The sequence below is a fragment of the Homo sapiens genome, chromosome 4, assembly GCF_000001405.40.
Source record: "Homo sapiens chromosome 4, GRCh38.p14 Primary Assembly".
Taxonomy (NCBI): Eukaryota; Metazoa; Chordata; class Mammalia; order Primates; family Hominidae; genus Homo; species Homo sapiens.
Window position 1 is genome coordinate 161,233,770 of NC_000004.12, and position 18,753 is coordinate 161,252,522.

Here is an 18,753-nt window from a genome sequence, read left to right on the forward strand (position 1 = left end):
GACATTTTGATGCTTCCAGCGATCTTATTTTTAACACTTATGGCTTCAGCCGGGATACTCCCTTTTAGTTATACTTAATTTTTATAGAATGAATGATTGTAAAAACTATTTAAAATTATTTTGAAATAAAGGCATACATGAAATAGTTCAAAAGCATTTGTAATTTTCTACTATGTATGAAGCTACAAAAACATACATTTAAATTACTGTAATATTACTTACATTGCTTTCTTTATATGTGTAGCAGTTTTGTCACTACAATATTTGCTTTTTCAAACCATTTTGCCACACCAGAGGCAATTTTGCATGTCATTTCTTTCGGGAATGCCAAACTTTATCAGAAAAAAAAAACAAAGAACCATGAAGCACCCTTAAACAGAACCTAATGCACACAGATTCATATAATATGCAACTTCACACACAAAAACATTCACTGTGTGAAGTATTGAAACCAGTTTGTGCTGCAAAAACATGAACATTGATGATTTCTATTTTAAACAATTCCTGACCACTCCTCTAAATTATTTACCTGGTTTTCTACCCATGCATTCATGCATGCATGCATCCATCCATCCAAACATCCATCCATCCATCCATCTACCCATTCCACCATTCACTCATCCATCTGGCACAACAGCAAAAACTGAATTATAGAAATACTCAGACAGGAGAGAATGTCCATTCTGACTAAGGGTCAATGAACTGACTACTACACTTACAATTTATAGATTTCACAATTAGAGCATTTTTTCACAAAATAATTTCTGTATCCATATGTCTGATTTTTGTTCTTTCTGTGCTATCCACATAATTTCAAATGCTTGAGCTATAGATTAAATTTGCATGGTGTAATTTTTTTTCCTTTGGTCCTGTGCCACAATGCTAGGTAATCCAGTAGAGTGTAGAGTAATTCCTAAAATGGGAATGGCCAGCCATACTCTGCAAGTCTTAGAAATACATTCCACTAAACCAAAAGTAGAAGATTCCCCAACTCAACAAGGACTCAATAAGGGCTTTTGAGTCCTTAGTTGGACTCAAAAGGGCCCATGCTTTTGTCCAATATCAGCCAGTAGGAGAGAAAAAGTGACAGAAAGTAAGATAAACAATTAAGAGGTAGTAGTTTTTAGTAATTGTATTTAAAATCTTACTTTGAAAATCTTACAAAAATATAGAACTTGAAGAACAAACATCCTGAGCCCTTGTCTAGGCTTTGGAAAAATCTCATGAAAGTGAAAGCTCCAAAGTTTGAGCTTTGTTATCTTCATTGCAGTATTGTCAATTTTGCTAATTACTAGTTGAAATTCCTAATGAACGTACAGACAGAAGAAAACCTTACATGTTTTCATACTTACGTTTCCATAATGAACAGCAATTTAGCAAGAGGGGCAAAATATAGAATATTTTCCTCACTGATACATGAAAAGCAGAGGAAACTCTATTTTCTAAAATTATGCCTATGTAGAAGTTATTTTGTGAGCAGAAAAACCATACACTTTAGATATTTTTATGTCTGTTTTGTTTCAAAAGTTTTGAAAAAGAAACATAAATATTTTGGAAACTTAAAATTGTTCAAATAAGACATCCATTCAAATCTCCTCATTAATAAAACCTATCTCTGTATTTTATAGCATTGTTTTTGCACTGCCTAAGGAAAAAGGATAACACCTCTTTGCCTGGTATTTGAGGGTTTCTAAAAAACTATTAAAACCTCTATTCAACTAAAATCTTTTGTATTTTCAAGGCTTCAGCCAAATGTATTTACTTTCTTTTTATATGGGCACCACGTATTTTCTCATCACCCATGCTCTTTCTTCTGGAATATTTTCATTCTTTCTTGTTTTGAATAAGTCCTATCTTCAAGAACCAGCTCTTTAATAAAAGCATTCTCTCTGTACTCAAATTCACGCAACAATGTTTCCTTTTACTGTTTGAAAGACTAGGAATCTGTGCCTTAAAAACTAGCTCACCTTTCCTACTAATTGCAAGCTCATAAAGATAAAAGACTGCATATTTTCACTTTGATATCCCCTGTTCCCTTGACAGTACCATACAGAAATGTCTAGACAATAATTATTTGTTCAAAATACAGACAAAATTATACCCAATACATTAATAAAAATAACATAGTTACACCTAATTTGGACCCCCGTGGATCATCTCTGGGCCATCTCTGTTCTAAAACACAGCAAGCCTTCTTAACCTCCTGTTTATCTGATTAGATATTCCTAGTATACATATTTGAAGTTAAAGTTGCTGTAAGAAAAATCTAAATATTTATGAATATTTTCTGCACTGTGCATACACATTTATTTTATCTTTATCTTTAGGTTCCATTTCAATGCACTGACCTAGTTATTTTGACTCAGTACAAAACAACAACACCACCACACCACCTTATTTATAGTAGTTACATTGTAGAGTATAAATGGGAAATGCCTGCTTCTCTCATAAATCGTCAAATACCACAGGGAATGTGAGAGAGTGATATACAAAATCCATCTTTAAAAAACAAGATGACAGAGGGTTGCAAGGAGGCTAAAGAGAACCCCTACAGGTTCAGATTTCAGGGATGTGTGGCTAAAAATTATTTTCTAAAGGAGGCAGCACATCCTGAAAAGAAAAATAATCACCCCTTTTTTAAAGCAACCGTAACATGGTCCAGGGATTAACATGAGCTTTCTTGGACACGTTTACCATGAAGAAAGAGCTGGAAAAGTTAGAATAAATGAGAAATCCTTTAGACATGCCATATTTGTAGGAAGCTGCCTGTTGGTGAGAAAGTATGGTTAAAAAGCAAATTATGAGCAGCCCTGTATCTACAGATACCTGACAGCAGGAAATAATAAAAGCTAACACAAAATCACAAATATACCCTGTGTCATAAATAACTCTACTGAAACTGAAGGGAATTTTCCTTATGCTTAGAAACTCTTCATTTAGTAAACTTTTCTAGCATTTAGAATTTTCCTGCATTTATATATTATTTAACAGATAAAATTACTTAATTAAAAAAAATAAACTGCCTGTATGACTGCTCTAACATTAGGTAGTTAGTATCTGCTTTGCTTGTGTGCTTGTTTTTCAGAAGGTAGTAGCAAGAGCAAGACCACTATGTATTTCAGCATATTACTAAGGCATCCTCCTGAATTTAGCACTATTGTTCTCCTTCCACTCAGTAGTGTGGTGAAAATTAATAAAATAATTACTGGAAACAGTATTATTTCTTTCTAGATAAATGTTTATTACTATTGTTATTATGATACTTACCTAAGTCCAGTTAATATTATAAACAGAAAATAAGGATAGGCAATGAATATAATTCCTTAAACTTGAATGTCACGTGCATTTAAAATAGATCATAGATTTATAGGTAGCAGCAGCTCTGAAGAAATATATTTCTCAGATGTTGGCTGAATTATAGGAAATAATCCTTGAGTGAAGTGAAAAATTCTATAAGCCACTTACTTATTCACATAACCCAAATAAAAATATTTAACTCATTGTGTTTGATTCCAAAACTGTTGAGATCACTAGTTTTTATGCCCTAGTTGCCTCATTTCAAAATGAAATATAATAGCCTACAGACTCTTTGTTATTTAATGTTTTTGTTATTCCATTATTAGAGGTAACTGAAAGTTGAATAGAATTTAGAACTGAGTGTTAATGGTCAGTAGGTAATGTTTAGATTTTGCTGACTTAATTATTTCATTCAAAACATGTTCACACATTGTGCAAATACATTCTTATGTGAAAAGCGTTTGTGCAGTCTACTGAATACATGATAGTAGCAGATATATATAATACCTACGATGTTAGTAATAACAGCATTTGTGAGCTGGTAAGTAGCACTTTCAGGACATGAAACACAAAGCAATGAAGCAACGCTTCATTCATATCCTTCTAAAAGCAAACTTGATTTTGATACTTTGGTTGGAATAGTGGAAGTGAAAAACCTGCCTTTACATTCACAATAGCCTCTTGTTTGCCTAAGAAATAATACCACTGCTGAACCAATTGTAAATGCAAAGTAGAAAGCATTATGAAGAAAAGCAAAATGCAGTCGTGCTTGCAAAGTCTGAAATGTAGTCACTACAATAAGAACATACATTAGCAGGTGTGCAATTGATGACTGACAGATTGAATTAACAGATTTTCACACAACTCCATAGAAACACAAATAAAGCACAATAAAGAAACATAGGTCCAGTCAAAACATTAGGATGAAGCATGTGATGTGTCAACTTTGTAGATTTCTGCAGTTTGTGTGTGTGTGCACTCATGTGTGCCGGCACATACACATATTCATGCCTCCCAACTTAAAGCTGTAGAGATTTTAATCAGTATACAGGGGATGACATAAGGGAACCAATAACTGGGGTAAAGACTGCCTTCCAATAATGCAAATTGGAAAAACTGATTTAGAGTAAATGAGATTAGCCGTCTAATAAAGTAACTAAAAATAAAGCATAATCTGTAATCATTGAATAAAATGGATCCTGAGTAGCCTTAATCTAATCAAGGTGTCTAGAGTATAGTCTGTTTTACATGATCATTTCCGTAAGTAAAACTTAGTCAAATATGTTATCTATATGGGTCTTGAACTGATATAATTTTTAAAACATTTATTATTTTCAAACTTATATCTATAGAAAAATATATCTTACTGGCTTGTGCAAGTAATTCAGATCCTATAATTGTGCTGATTTAAAATAAATAAATATTTTTTGAGTAATTATTGATCCATAACAAATACAAACTTGGTAAGTATCCATTTATAACTGTACATTATCAAGGTAAAAGTACACTAATGTAAAGAGGAGTCAGGGCTTATTCCATGACTATTACTCTTTTTCCTCAATATCAGAAAGTCAGAATTATGGATAAGATATTTTTGACCCTTCCTTGTGCTATCAGCATCTCCATGGCCTGGATAAGGAAGACAACTAACATAAATCTATTTATTCATTAGTCTTGTTAATACTAATTAAGTACTTTGTGTTCAGAGCATGCACTTATTTAAAATATGTTGAAAGCACAAAGAAAAATGAAGCATTTTATTCTTCTTACTCAAGGTGATAGAAGTCTAGTCACCCACCATCACTGTAAAAGAAGACAGTTTTTTAGGGCTATCACTTTCTTCATTTCTAATGACTTTGCTGGATCTCTTTCCTTTTAGGATAATTTATGTGTGATGATATAACTACCTATTCTCAATGTGAGATTTCTTGGGAATTCTATCTAAAGGAATGTCATTGGCACTTCAAAGAATGCAGTGGAAAATAAAGGTTTATAATATCATGGAACTAGTTTTTCGGGTGGAGAAACAGACATTAAGCAGATAGCTATGTATTTAAGTATTTAGTGTTAATAAGTCCTACAAGTAAACAAGGGGTGCTAAACAGCACATACATGGAAATTAGAGTTAGTGTGTTAGAGAAAACTAGTCTGAAAAATATAAGTTTGAGATTAAAAGAATAAATAAAGAATAAATATAAAACCGAGATGTTTGGCATTAAGAGAGAGTGTAAATTGTCAGGAAGCTCAGAATTCTATTAAGCACTCAAAATAATGACCTTATACAATAAATTTCTTTCCATCTAAATGTTTTCTAATCTAAATGTTTCTTCTTTAATCTTCATTTTAACTCGCCTATAGCTTTTGTTGAGATGTAAGACCTTTAAAAGACAGTCATTATAAGTGTGATTTCCCAAAAACATACTTAAGAAGCAAAAATCATTTGTTCTCACAATTGCTATAGTAATACAAAAAAATCCAAATATCAAACACTTTCCTCTACAAGTTATCTCTTAAGCACTTGAGATTATTTGCAAATGAATCTTTTATAGTGGTCTCCAAGGACTCTCACTTACTGCAGCTTTTTGTCTTTCACAGGTGAGAAATTTCAAGTGCCTACAATAATTTTACTTGAGCCTTAACTATCCTTTCAAAGCAGGTGCAAAAACCTAAAGAGCCATGATATTCATCACTCAGCAAGATTTTTATGTATCTAACATTGAAAGAAAGGTGCAAGTTTTATTTGAGATTACTTTAAAAAATCCTAAGAGAACTGAATTATCCCTCAGCAACTTGCCTCACATAAGCAATTTATTCACAATTACGTTGATTATCCCTTGTCAGACTTCCAGGAATTTCACTTAAATTCACACTCCCATGCATATTCTGAAAAATGATCTTATTCAAATTGCTAAATAAGGGAAACAATGTCCTTAAAAATAATTTTTAATAGGGCAGAAGATGTATATATTGGTCTCCTTGGGCTGCTACCACAAAACACTACAGATCAGGTGGCTGATCTATATAATCAATATAAATCAATATAAATCAAAAGAAATCAATATAAAAATTGATTTCTTACAATTTTAGAGGTGGGGCATTCCCAGATTGACGGGCAGGTAGATTCAGTGTCTGGTGAAAGTCTGCTTCCTGGCTCATAAATGGCCATCCCCTAGCTAAGCATTCACATAAAGGAAGAAGGGCAGGGCCCACCTGGAGCCTCTTTTATAAGAACTCTACATTCATGAGGACTCCATTCTCATGACCTAATCACATCCCAAAGGCCCTACCTTCTAATAACATCATCTAGAGGGTTATGATTTCGACACCTGAATTTGGAAGGGGATACAAACAGCCAGACCACAGTAGGGTAGTATCTTAAATAAGATGCTAGAACTATACGTTGCTCTGTGCTAATAATATAAAATTGTGTTTACCAATTGTTCATGCAAAGGTACAACAGGAATTTTCATCATGAATTTGACCACAGTCAAGTATTAGGAGCATGATCATATATTACTGCCATCACAATATATAATTAACGTAGAAAAGTAATTCATATAAAAAGAAAAATTGTTTCCCATAAGTGATAAGTTTACTATGAAATCATAAAAGTAAATTCAGGTATAAAATATATTATCAAATATTTATGTATACTTTTTAGATATGGTCAATTTCACAGGATCTTTCTTAAGAGAATTAAGATGTTGCAAAATTAAGAATAACCCAAAAGTTATTGTTATTTTTCTTTGGATTCAAATCACAGAAACACTCAGATATACATCTTTACTATGTTATGATGCCAAATGGTATATCCAGTTTGACCTATTCAGTAACAGTTATTAATTAGGTACATAAACAAACAGAGGACTTGTAGAAAAATCAACTTTTATTGACAATGACATGCTTGAAATTTTTTTTCCTGTATCTAAGACAAAACCCAAATATTTATCTCCCATTTTCATGACTTTTTCTTCATAGTTTTGTACATACAGACATCTTTAGTTTTCAAACTAATGAAGATAATTGTTCATTAATATTTTCATGCTTACAAAACATAAAACACTAGGATCTTGCAGGCTTTTTATTAAAGAAAACTAGCAAACATTGTTGAAACCTGATTCAATAGGAAAAATGCTTTGAAGGCTAGAGATAGTGTGGCAGTCCAGGTCTCCCTAATGGCTGAACAGGCAGGCCTCCATAACAACTGTTTCAGCACTGACTAAGTGGTTAAGTTAAATATTTTAAAAGCTGACAGAGCCAGTGCAATTATACAAGGACTGGAATATAACAAAAGCCCACCAAGAGTTTTGCCTAGGACTTTCCTGGGCCTTAAATCATGACAAGATAATGAAGAAGTTCTTAATAGGACCAGCTTAGGATTCAACAAATTTTATTGGGGGTCCGAAGAAACTCCATAGACCTCCACAAACAAGTTTATTGGGGGTCTGAAGGAACTCCTCAAACCTCCATGATTTAGCAGGAGACAAGATAAAAGTAATCACCCCAGCACCTGTACCCATTTAAATTAAGTAAATTTACTGAGGATTCAGAGGAAGGTATTGAGGACTCAGATCTTAGTTATAGATTAAAAGAAGTTAATCACTTAAGTCTTTAGATGAATTCACACTTACACATAAACACATAGCTTAGAAGGTATATAAGCTCTGGAAAACTTAGTAACTTTGAGTTTGTGTGGAGTTATTTTCCAGGCCTTCTCCTTGTACCTGGTTACAGAAATAAAAACTCTATTCTTTCTCAGTTCATCTGCATGTTGTTATTGGGCCAAGAGAACAAGCAGCCCGACACACAGTTTGGTTCAGGAACAATAGCGTTTTTTTTTTTTTTTTTTTTTTTTTTTTCTGAAGAGAGTTACAGACTTTTTCCCACCCGTCTGTTTACAACACAGGGTAAGGAAGCCAGAGAGCCTTCCCCCCTCCACAGAGATTTGTTTATATGCTAGTGTTTCTCTCTCCCTAGAGGGGAGGATGGATCAATGTGCCAACCACCCTGCTTATGCTCCAAGTCTCATAATTCCATCATCATTCTCCTGCAGCACAATCCCACTGCATGCATGAGATAACATCATGTTTTTACCTTATTGTCCTGTGGGAAATGGAGCAAGGAGAACCAGTGCTAAGATGTGCTGTAAGTAATAAACAGACAGTCTTCCGATCCCAAGACCTCATGTTTCATATCAGAATACCTATATCTAAACTTACCCATATGAAAGCAAGATTCAATGACAAAAGCACTAGAACAAGACAAAATGCACTTGCTAAAGGGTTACTTTGCAAGGAAGTCAGACCTCAGAAAGATTTGCTCATCAAATACACACAGACACACACACATACACACACACACACACACAAATACACTCACACAAAGTATTTCAGGACAAAAGAAACTGCAAAATTACAACGGTTAGCATGTTAATACCAGTTATGGAAAATAGACTCTTTCTCAAATAATTTCTATATCCACGTAGAATGTAACATGTCTTCCAAAATCAGCATTGCACAGCCCAGGGATAAAGGAAATTGCTTCTGAGTTTGTTTTCTCACTTCCTAGTCAGCAACAAAAAGAAAATGCTTAAACTATTACACTGTTTGTTTGTTTATCTCAGGGTACAAAGTACGCCACACTTTATCAACTCTAGGAAATTCAATTTATATTTATTCCTGATGGCAGTTAAACAAAATGTCAATTTTGGTTCCCCAGTTCCTCCTTGTGATCAAACCTCTGCTCCTAAGGCACAGTTTAAACACAGAAGGTGATGTTGAAATGTTTGGAATTCAATACCATTAATTTTTTCATTGCCCATGTTTATTTGCATAGATATAACAAAATATGTTAAATAATATGCCAACACTTACTTGTCAAGAGATGTTGATTAGTGGGCAAAGCCATTCTTATTTTCTGGTTAACAAAACTGGAACCTAGACAGTCTTCTAAAGTCTCTAGGGTTGTAATTTATTTCAAGGAGTCAGAGGTACTTCATTTCCCATATCAACTTCTCTGAAAAGATCAGAAACAAAGAACCTTTGAATCTAACTGATCCATGTTTCACCTGTGGTACCTATAACTATAAAGGTATATTCTGTCTTTTCTGAGATCCCAAGGTTGTTAATATTCCTTTCCTGCCAGAAGGTAATGTTCTTTACTGCCTTTGTCTGTAATTTTATAAATTGTAGAAAGATAACAGCCTTGCTTCCAGGTATCATTTTTAAATGTGAAAAGAGGTCCTATATTATATTTATCATACCTAACTCAAGAGATTTCTATCATAGTTTAGCTACATATTTGATTTATCTAATTATATCCTTTTAGGAAAAGGGTACATTCTTAAACCTAAATAAAGAATTACATAGCTATCAAAAGCAAAGAAATATGGTCAATGTGCTGGAAAATATTTAAAAACTGTCACTATTGTTTTGAACATATTTGTAAACAAGATCAATTAATATTTATAATTATTTTCCAAAAGTGTAATTATTAAGTGTTTTTTCCCTGAAAAGTATTACCATATAAACGTTGATAATCATTTTGGTAAGATAATTGGTTTAATTCTAAAGGTTAGCTATATCCCTTAGTTTAAGGGATATATCCCTTAGTGATATATAATATATGATAAAATCATTGTTGAATTCCTGTTTGTATCAACTTTTAGGTACAAATAACATACAAATAATGTAGCTCTTCTATATGCACATAGATATATTTAATATTTATATTGTATAAATGTAAATTATTTTTTCAAGATAAAATACACCGTACTTTTTCAAGAAACAACAAACATGCAAAATTAATGTTGCTGAGAGAAGAGGCAGAGGTGAGAAGATACCTACAATTAAGTTATATTATACTAAGATACTCCATACCTTCATGAACATTATGAAAAATAGTTGTTGGCTTAAGTTATGACTTCTCTCTGTGACAAAAGGATCTGGTTGGTAATAGAATGAACCAGTACTTTAAGAAGAAAATACTAAATAGAGAGATGAGTTTACCTGTTTTTGGTAAAGCAACTGACTTTTGTTATGATGTAAGACATAAAATGGTGTATTGTGGTGTTAGAAGTTGAGGGTTTTGAATAAATCTATTTGTATGGAATGATGTTTATTTTACCTGAAATTGGTTAAATGCTCAAATTTCTAAACCACATACTGAGAGTGTTCTATAGTGAAATGAGAGAGTTCCCTGAACCCCCTTGCAGGATGTGCAACAGGGATGTGGCTTGTCTGTTAGGCCACTGCACACTCAAACCCCTTATAGAAGGGGAGGTACACAGACAGGCAGGTGCAGGAGCCAGGGCAAGCCACGGTAATGTCTAGGGGTGAGTGCCTATGACTCCCAAAGCCCCAGTGGGTGTATTACAGTGCTCTTTTAGCTCTGCCATCCGCAGATGGCTTAAGTGTTAACCGGCTCAGTGCCCTCTTGGTACCAGCTTCTTGTCCAATGTACAGGAAGAATCAGATCACACAGACAAATTGAAGGATGGTAAATGTGGGGAATTTTATTGCCAGATGGATGTGGCTCTCAGAAGGATGCATGGGGAGCTGGAAAGGGGATGGAGTGGGAAGATGATCTTCCAAAGGAGTTCGTTCATCCTGCGGCCGATCTCCACTCCAACCATCTCCAGCCAAATTCCTCTTGACATTCCGACACTCCTTCTCTTGTCTCCTTCGCTGCTGCACCACACTGCTGCTCTGCCGTTCTTCTGCTCCTCTACTCTTCTGCTCTTCTCTTCATGGAGGCTGGGGTTTGGGGTTTATATGAGTACAGGATAGGGAGGTGTGGCAGGCCAGAAGGCAACATTTGTGCACAAATACATGAATGTCTGTTCCCATTTAGGGCTGTGGTTTCCAGGCTTGAGGGTAGGGCCTTTGCTGAGGAACTGCCCTCTTCTACCAAATATCTTTCTGCCTCTTGTCTGTATCAATAGTACCATACTAGGCCAGGCACAGTGTCTCATGCCTGTAATCCCAGCACTTTGGAAGGCTGAGGTGGGTGGATCATGAGGCCAGGACTTCAAGACCAGCCTGGCCAAGATGGGGAAACCCCATCTCTACTAAAAATACAAAATTAGCTGGGTGTGGTGGTGGGTGCCTGCAATCACAGCTACTTGGGAGGCTGAGGCAGAGAATTGCTTGAACCCAGGAGGCAGAGTTTACAGTGAGCCAAGATCACACCACTGCACTCCAGCCTGGGCAAATGAGAGAGACTGCATCTTAAAAAAAAAAAAGTGCCATACTAGAAATCTAAAATAAATTTCAATTGTTTTTATTTACAGCCTAACTTTTAAAGGAACTGAAAATGCTGGTTTTCATTATGTATTCAGGTTAATTTGACACAAACCTCATTACTGCTATTGTCTAACCAATCACTGGAGGCTTAATTTTATTTATCAATTTACATTTATAAAAGTTTTATCTAATTACTATCCTAAATTTCCTGGTCCCAAAGAATTAAAATATATGTTTTCTCTGTATGGTATATATTTTTATAATACAGATTAAATATTTTTATATAAATATGTGCAAAATAATAAGTAACAGCAATTTTTCAGCTCCCCCACTCATTCCCATTTATTAATAGTAAAAATAGTTAACCAGTTAGGAGTTTATTCTTTCAGGTATTTGTAATATATATGCTTATACAGAAAATTTGTTTTATAAATATCACATATATTTATAACATAAAATATTTATATATAGTATGTAATATTTAGTATATTATTCTGTAGAGTATTATATTATTATACAACATATTAAATAAAACTTAATGTTATTCAATGTTAGGTTTTCACTTCATAATATTTCTTGTGTCTCATTCCAGGTCCATGAATAAAAATCTACTTTATTCTTTTTAAAAGCTTCACAGTGTTTCATGAAGCATGGAGAAGAGCACAATTTCTTTTGGAATATTTGTTATATTTTGGATCAATTGGGTATTTCCCTTATAACTGAGCATCACCATATAATTTTGGAGTTGGTGTTTGCTGTGCTACTTATTAATGCTTTGGTGACAAGTAGTCCTACTTTAAACTGAAAGGGTGAATGTGGATTGAACATTGAAAATGTGACATAAAAAATGTTTTCATATCAAGTGAAATCTCAGTGATGTCATCACCTTGTACACATTAAGTTTCCACAATAGTTCCAAATTTTGTAAACAGCAGGATAATTTAAGCCTGACATGTCACTCATAAATCTAGAAATGACAAATTCAAAAGAACTTCTTGTTCTGTTGACATTAATATCATAATTAAGCCTCTCTCAGGAACTAAGCTTTAACACAACATTCAGAATATTAATTAGCTAATTAAAATTGTATTGTTTGTATAGATCTGTTAATATTCAATTTGTAAATTTGATTTCATTTTATAGCTTCATAGAAAATATAAGCATGAGTTCATTTCTAGATTTTAAAAGTATTATTATGTTAATATTTTAATAAAATATGTGTAAGACTGGGAGTTCACCATAATTTAATTATTTTCTTAAAAAGAGGCCATACTTTATTCAGCTTTAAGAGAGATTGTCATAGAAAATTTTCTTGACAAAGACTATATGATATCTACTTGCTATGTACTGTACATTTAGCTATGGAAACTGTATGTGAATTTTACACTTTAAACTGTTTAAATTTCAAAAATAAAAATGGAAGAGGGCATATCTAGGTCTTTCTATTATATGAAGACAGAAGTTAAGGAAGAGTTTTCCAACATTATTAATGATCTCCATGAAAGTATATAATGTAAAATTAATTAGAGTAATGATGTAATAATTTATTCACCATGGTTTTTCCAGTGTCTAGAAAATTTTGTTTGTTCAGTAAGTATCTGTTTACAATAAATTCGTGAGTGAATACATACATAGGTGAATGACAGATTATCTCATATTGTAAATGTATTGTTTTTCTTCTATAAGAAGTACATTTTGATAAATAATTATTTGGGTAGAGACCTGATAAGTTAGTGTTAGAATTAAAACATTAATATTTTTGGTAAAAAAAAAATCTGTCTATATTTTAATATAGAGAGGATGTCTTAAGGCACATTAATATAGAGAGAATGCCTTAAGGCATAACTTTTCCACCAGTGGAAATTACCCAGCCTCTAAGCCCTTATAAAAGGTTAAGTAGAAAGGCAGAACTTAAAGAGTGGCAGAACAAGGTCCTTCAAAAATTCACGTAATCAAAAAGGCATTACACAACTGACAACAGTATGAAAATCATACTTTTTTTCAGAACTCTGAAATTAAACAAAAGCTTGCAATCATTTGAGACATGCTACTCTATTCAAAGACAGCCAAATTTTGTAAAAACAGTGATTTTGGGAGATACTAACTTGCCCTTTTCCCATCCACCTCTCCCCAAGTGCATAGTAGACTTTAAAATGGCAGCCTCAGAACCATGGAGCCGTAAAATCTAGCAATCTAGTAGCCATTGGATGGGGGAAGACTTACTATGCAGCTCATTCAAAAGTCGATACCTAGAAATTTTTTACTGTTTGGCATGGATGGGAGCACCCTGTCAAAGTCTCATTTCTACAGCTGATTGTTATTAGATTCTATTCTGAGCTTGGTCAATAAAAAAATGTTCTATTGCCCAAGAAGTTGCTGAAAAATTGCTTTCAAATATTTAACACTGCAGTTGACAAATCCAATGATAACAAGTTGGGACAAACAAGAAGAATTCAAAACATTTATAAGAATTATATGAGAAATAAGTTGTCCACAGTGACTTTGAAACCTCTTCATTTTCCTAGGGACCTAAAAAGTCTGTGTGACAGTGTGCCTGCTCAGAAAAGCCCAAAGAATGCAATAATACCTCACTACTATCTGATTTTGAGACTCAATGCAAACGGGAAATGAAGGCTAAAGCAGAGTGAAAAACTGCTCACAAGTGCATTGAACACATGACCAACACCAGAAAGAGAGGACCTTGGCAAAGTCTCAGAGACTTACTGATTCAAGGCATTTAGGGAAATCTCTTGTCCAAACATTACTTAATTACTAAGCTAAATAAGCAGAGACTTTAGTAGCCATAAATGTCAAGGAATACAGATTTTATAGATTCTTTTCAGGGACATTTAACTAAACAAACAAACCACAGAAATAATAAGGAAATCACCTCTACCAATAAAACCTAGGAAAGAAAGGGGAGTCTGAAACCCAGGCTTACAATTCAATTCATATTATCTAAAAGATGCAGTTTTCAATACAAATGTTTTTAAGAAATGTTTTCTAAAAAGCATTAAATTATGTCCCATACCAATAAAACAAAGCAGTCAATAGAGGCTAACATAAGGAATAACAGGTATTGGACTCACTGGACAAAGATTTTAAATTAGCAACTTTAAATACATTTAAAGAACTAAAGATAATTATGTCTAAAAGACTAAAGTATTAGATTGACATCTCATCAAACACAAGATATCAATAAAAAGAGACAAATTCCAAAAAAGAACCCCCCAAAAATTCTGGATTTAGGAACTATATTAATTGAAGTTTAAAGTAATCATAAGAATGACTCAACAGCAGATTTAAATTTACTAAAAAAAAAGAATTAGAACAATGAAAAAATAAGTCAATAGAGTTTATCCAGTCTGTGGAGCAAAGAGAAACAAGAATGAAAAAAGTGGGCAGAGCCTCAGAGGTCTAAGGGACACCACAAAACATACCAACATACAAAATAATTGTGACATAAGAAGAGCAGAGAGAGACAGAAGAGTAAGAAATAATCAGAAAGCTCCATATATGATGAAAACATGATTTATACATTCAAGCAATTCAAAGATTCCAAGTAATATAAATTCAATTATATGCGTCACAGGATCCTTGGGGTGTCACTTTTCTGGCCAGAAACCTCTGTGGCCAGTAGCACCTTTGCTCAAGTTTTTGTTCAGGCCCTCTAGGCTCATTCTGCAGATTCAGCCTGGCAGGCTTTGCTTGGCCCACACTACCCACCTGGATCCCACATCTGCCAAAGGCGAGCCAGGCAAGGAATGGCGAGGGGTGTCTGAGTGAGTGAGCATGGGGTCCAGCCACTGTGCACAGCCAGGCATGCTGGCTGCAGTGGGGCAGGAAGCTCCAGGCACCAGCACAGGTGCCAGCTCCTTGTGAGGCTACAGCTGGACCAGGAGTACTGCAATCAGCTTCCATGGCTAGCACTGGAGAACAAATGGCACCCAGAAGCCAGGAGCCACAGAGCCCCAGAGAGGGTGTCACAGCCCTGGGTTGGAGAGCTCCTAGGTCTGGGATCCCCAAGAGGTTGCAGCTCTTCTCTCCTTCTCTCTTCTCTCCTTCTCATTGCCTGCGAAATGGTGAGCAAGGTGTTTCAGCCCTGTTTGTATTACATCTCTTTCAGCCCTGCCATTCAGTGGGTCCGAAGTTCTTGTCCTGCCTCCACAAAGAATGAGGTATACAGACAAGTAAGGGCTGAGCAAGGTGAAAAGGTGCTTTATTGAGACACAGAACAGCTCAGAGGACACCGACAGTGAGAAGCTCCTCTCCGTAGGCAGGTCATCCATTTGACTGCTCAAGTCTGGCTGAGTCCAGGGTTTTTATGAGCTTCAGAGTGGAGGAAGTGTGTGCTGATTGGTCCATGGGCAGTCATGGGCGGGCCCAGAAAAAGCACCATAAGTTCTAACTCAGGTCCATGAACTGACAGCTCAGCCCCCAGGCTTCAGGCCATCCCTGCCTTGAAGGTGGGGCTTCACCAGAGACCTGCTCCTTTCCAGCCAGGAGCCTGTTTCCTGCTGCCATTAGCCTGCCATCTACAGTGCCATAGTGCCCAGGCTATTCCTGCTGATGGGTGCCTGCAGGCCCACACTGAGCCGCCATTAGCTCTCCCTCAGCTTCCCCATGCTCGTTGGTGCTGAAAGTCCGGAAGAAGCTGAGGCAGCAGGGGGCTGGTGTGTCAGCACTGCCCCAAGCACGTGCAAACCTGGCCAGGTCACGACAATGCTCATGCTTGGCCACAACTTTGCTCTAAAATTGGATCAGGTGCTAGGAGTGGGGAGAGGCCAGGCAGCAGGAGCAGACACTTCTGAGCCTGTTGGGGAAATGGGGCTTCTCAGGCCTCTGAGACTGCAGAGATGCCTGGGTTCCCAGCTGTCACTGGGCAGCTGCAGCTCCACGTGGGAGGGCGGGACTGCTGCCCCTCCAACTTGGAAGTGAGCAGGGCTTCCACCTGTTCCCAGTTCCTGTGGGCTCATGGAACTCGCAGCCCCCACTGCACCTCCCTTACTGCAGCTGGCATCATGGCAGCAGCCACCCCAGACAGGAAACTGCTGTTATCATATTTACACATTGACAGATTTTAGTCAAGCTTTCAAAAGCCAAAAACAGAGACCTTTGAAAGCATCATGAGAAAGGAACTCATGACATACAAAGGATTCACAATAACACTAACAGCAGCATTCTCACAAGAACTGGACACCAGAAAGCCGTTGTTTTTGAATGACATATTCAAATTGTTGAAAAAGAAAAAGACCATCATCAGGTTGGGGGCAGAAGCTCATGCCTATAATCTCAGCACTATGGGAGGCCATGACAGGAGGATTTCTTGAAGCATAGGGATTTCAGACCAGCCTGGACAACATAGCAATACCTCATCTCTACCAAAAAAATAAAAAATGAAAAATAACCAGGCATGGTGGCACATGCTTGTAGTCACAGCCAATTGAGAATCAGAGGTGGGAATTTTGCTTGAGCCTAGGTGTTCAAGGCTGCCCAGAGTTATTATGGTGCCACTGCACTCTATCTTGGGTGAAAGAATGAGAAAGGAGAGGAGAGGAGAGGAGAGGAGACGAGAGGAGACGAGAGGAGACGAGAGGAGAGGAGGGGAAGATCATCACCTAAAATAATTACACCCAGCAAAAAAAAAATCCCTCAAAAAATACAGTTTTATGTAGATATAAATATTGTAATCCCAGAGCAATCATGAAGAAAATATCTCACAATATATATTAAAAGGAAAAACAAGGAAAATAAAATGGAGAACTAAAAAGTGTTTATTTTACGTAAAAGAAGGCAGAAATAGAAATAGGAGAAAATTTAAAATAAACGTGAGATATATATATATATGTATACACACATATGTAAACATTTATAAAATAATACAACTAATCTTAATTTATCAGTAATTTTATTAAATGTAGATTTGTTGAACGTTCCAATCAAAAGATATGTATTGAAAGAAAGAGAAAAAATATCCAATTATATGTTATGTATGAGGACACACTTTATATAAAAGGCACAAGTAAGTTAAACGTTAAAGGGTAGAAATTAATATATAATTCAAATGGTAACCAAAAGACACCTAGAATGGCTTATTAATAACAAAAAATACAATTTGAGAAAAAAATGTTATTAGAGAGAAGGAAAGACATTTTAAGTGATAAAGTGGTCAAAATATTAGGGAGAGACAACAATTACAAACCTATAGGATCTAATAAAGCTTTAAAATGCATGAAGCAATAACTGAGAGAACTGAAGGAAAACATAGATAGCTTAACGGTAATAACTGGAGACTCAAATATCCACCTTTTAATAAGGGGTAGAACAAATAGGCAGAAGACAGAAAAGATAATAAAAGACTGGAATTAAACTGTAAACAATATATGCCTAATAGATATTATATCCATACACCAACAGTTAACAATCGAAAAAAAAAAAGTCATTCCACTCACAATAGTGATGCAGCTTCCATGACTGCAGGAACACCAGAGTCCTTAGTTTTGTGCCATTAGGAGTAATGACACAGACACATGTGGAGTGGTCGTTAAGAAGTAAAAAGTTTAACAGGCAAGAAAGAAGAAAGACAGAAGAAAACAGAGACAGAGGGACAGGGGCTCAGAACAAAGAGGAACCCTGTGTGCAGCGGAAAGGCAGTCCATTATATCCGGAAGCTGGAGAAGGCAGTGTCTGGTTTGCATAGGGCTCAGGGGATTGGTTTGACCGGATGTGTCGTTCACGTAGCCGAAAAAACCTTGCCCTCCCACCCTAGCCTTTAATATGCAAATACAGGTCAACATGATGTTTTGAACACATGGCGTTACGTGGGGGCAGCCATGACACTTGGTACACCAGGTGACAAGGAGAAGATGGTGGGAATCACCATGTTGGGTAGACCCAGTTTCTATTTTCCGGCATTTGCGTATCAAAGTTTGCCGGTCTAGCTCTTTAAGCCAACTTTTTTTTAGTTTCCACCGAGAACGTTTACCCCATCTAGCTGCCTAAAATAATTTCTTAATAACTCCTGTATTATTCCCCCCTCAAAGAGAAGTAGGTCTAATTATTGTTAGGGGGTGTTGGATGACGATTCTTTCTGGCTACTTCCTGCTGAAAAGGGGTGTTGTGTAGGGGGTTCAGCAGTTTGGCCTTCTGAGGTTTATCTAAGGGTTCTCAGAATAATGCTGTGTCCATGTGTGGCTCTGCTCACAGCACCGTT

General features: G+C 35.8%; 1 long non-coding RNA gene across 1 annotated transcript, besides 1 other annotated feature; it reads right to left on the minus strand.

Moving 5' to 3' along the window:
- Positions 1-238: 238 nt before the first annotated feature.
- LOC105377515 (uncharacterized) lies at positions 239-18,433 on the minus strand. Its single transcript, XR_939409.1, has 3 exons — positions 17,993-18,433; positions 9,171-9,312; positions 239-332 (listed from the first exon to the last, which is right to left on the minus strand). It is a non-coding gene; the product is annotated as an uncharacterized LOC105377515 (long non-coding RNA).
- Positions 15,843-16,012: an enhancer, noted in NCBI's record as "experimental_75444 CRE fragment used in MPRA reporter constructs". NCBI's record gives its function as "activates a minimal promoter by MPRAs in K562 erythroleukemia cells, with activity observed for both the introgressed and non-introgressed 4:162170849 variant alleles {active_cell/tissue: K562}" and the evidence as "EXISTENCE:reporter gene assay evidence [ECO:0000049][PMID:34662402]".
- Positions 18,434-18,753: the final 320 nt, after the last annotated feature.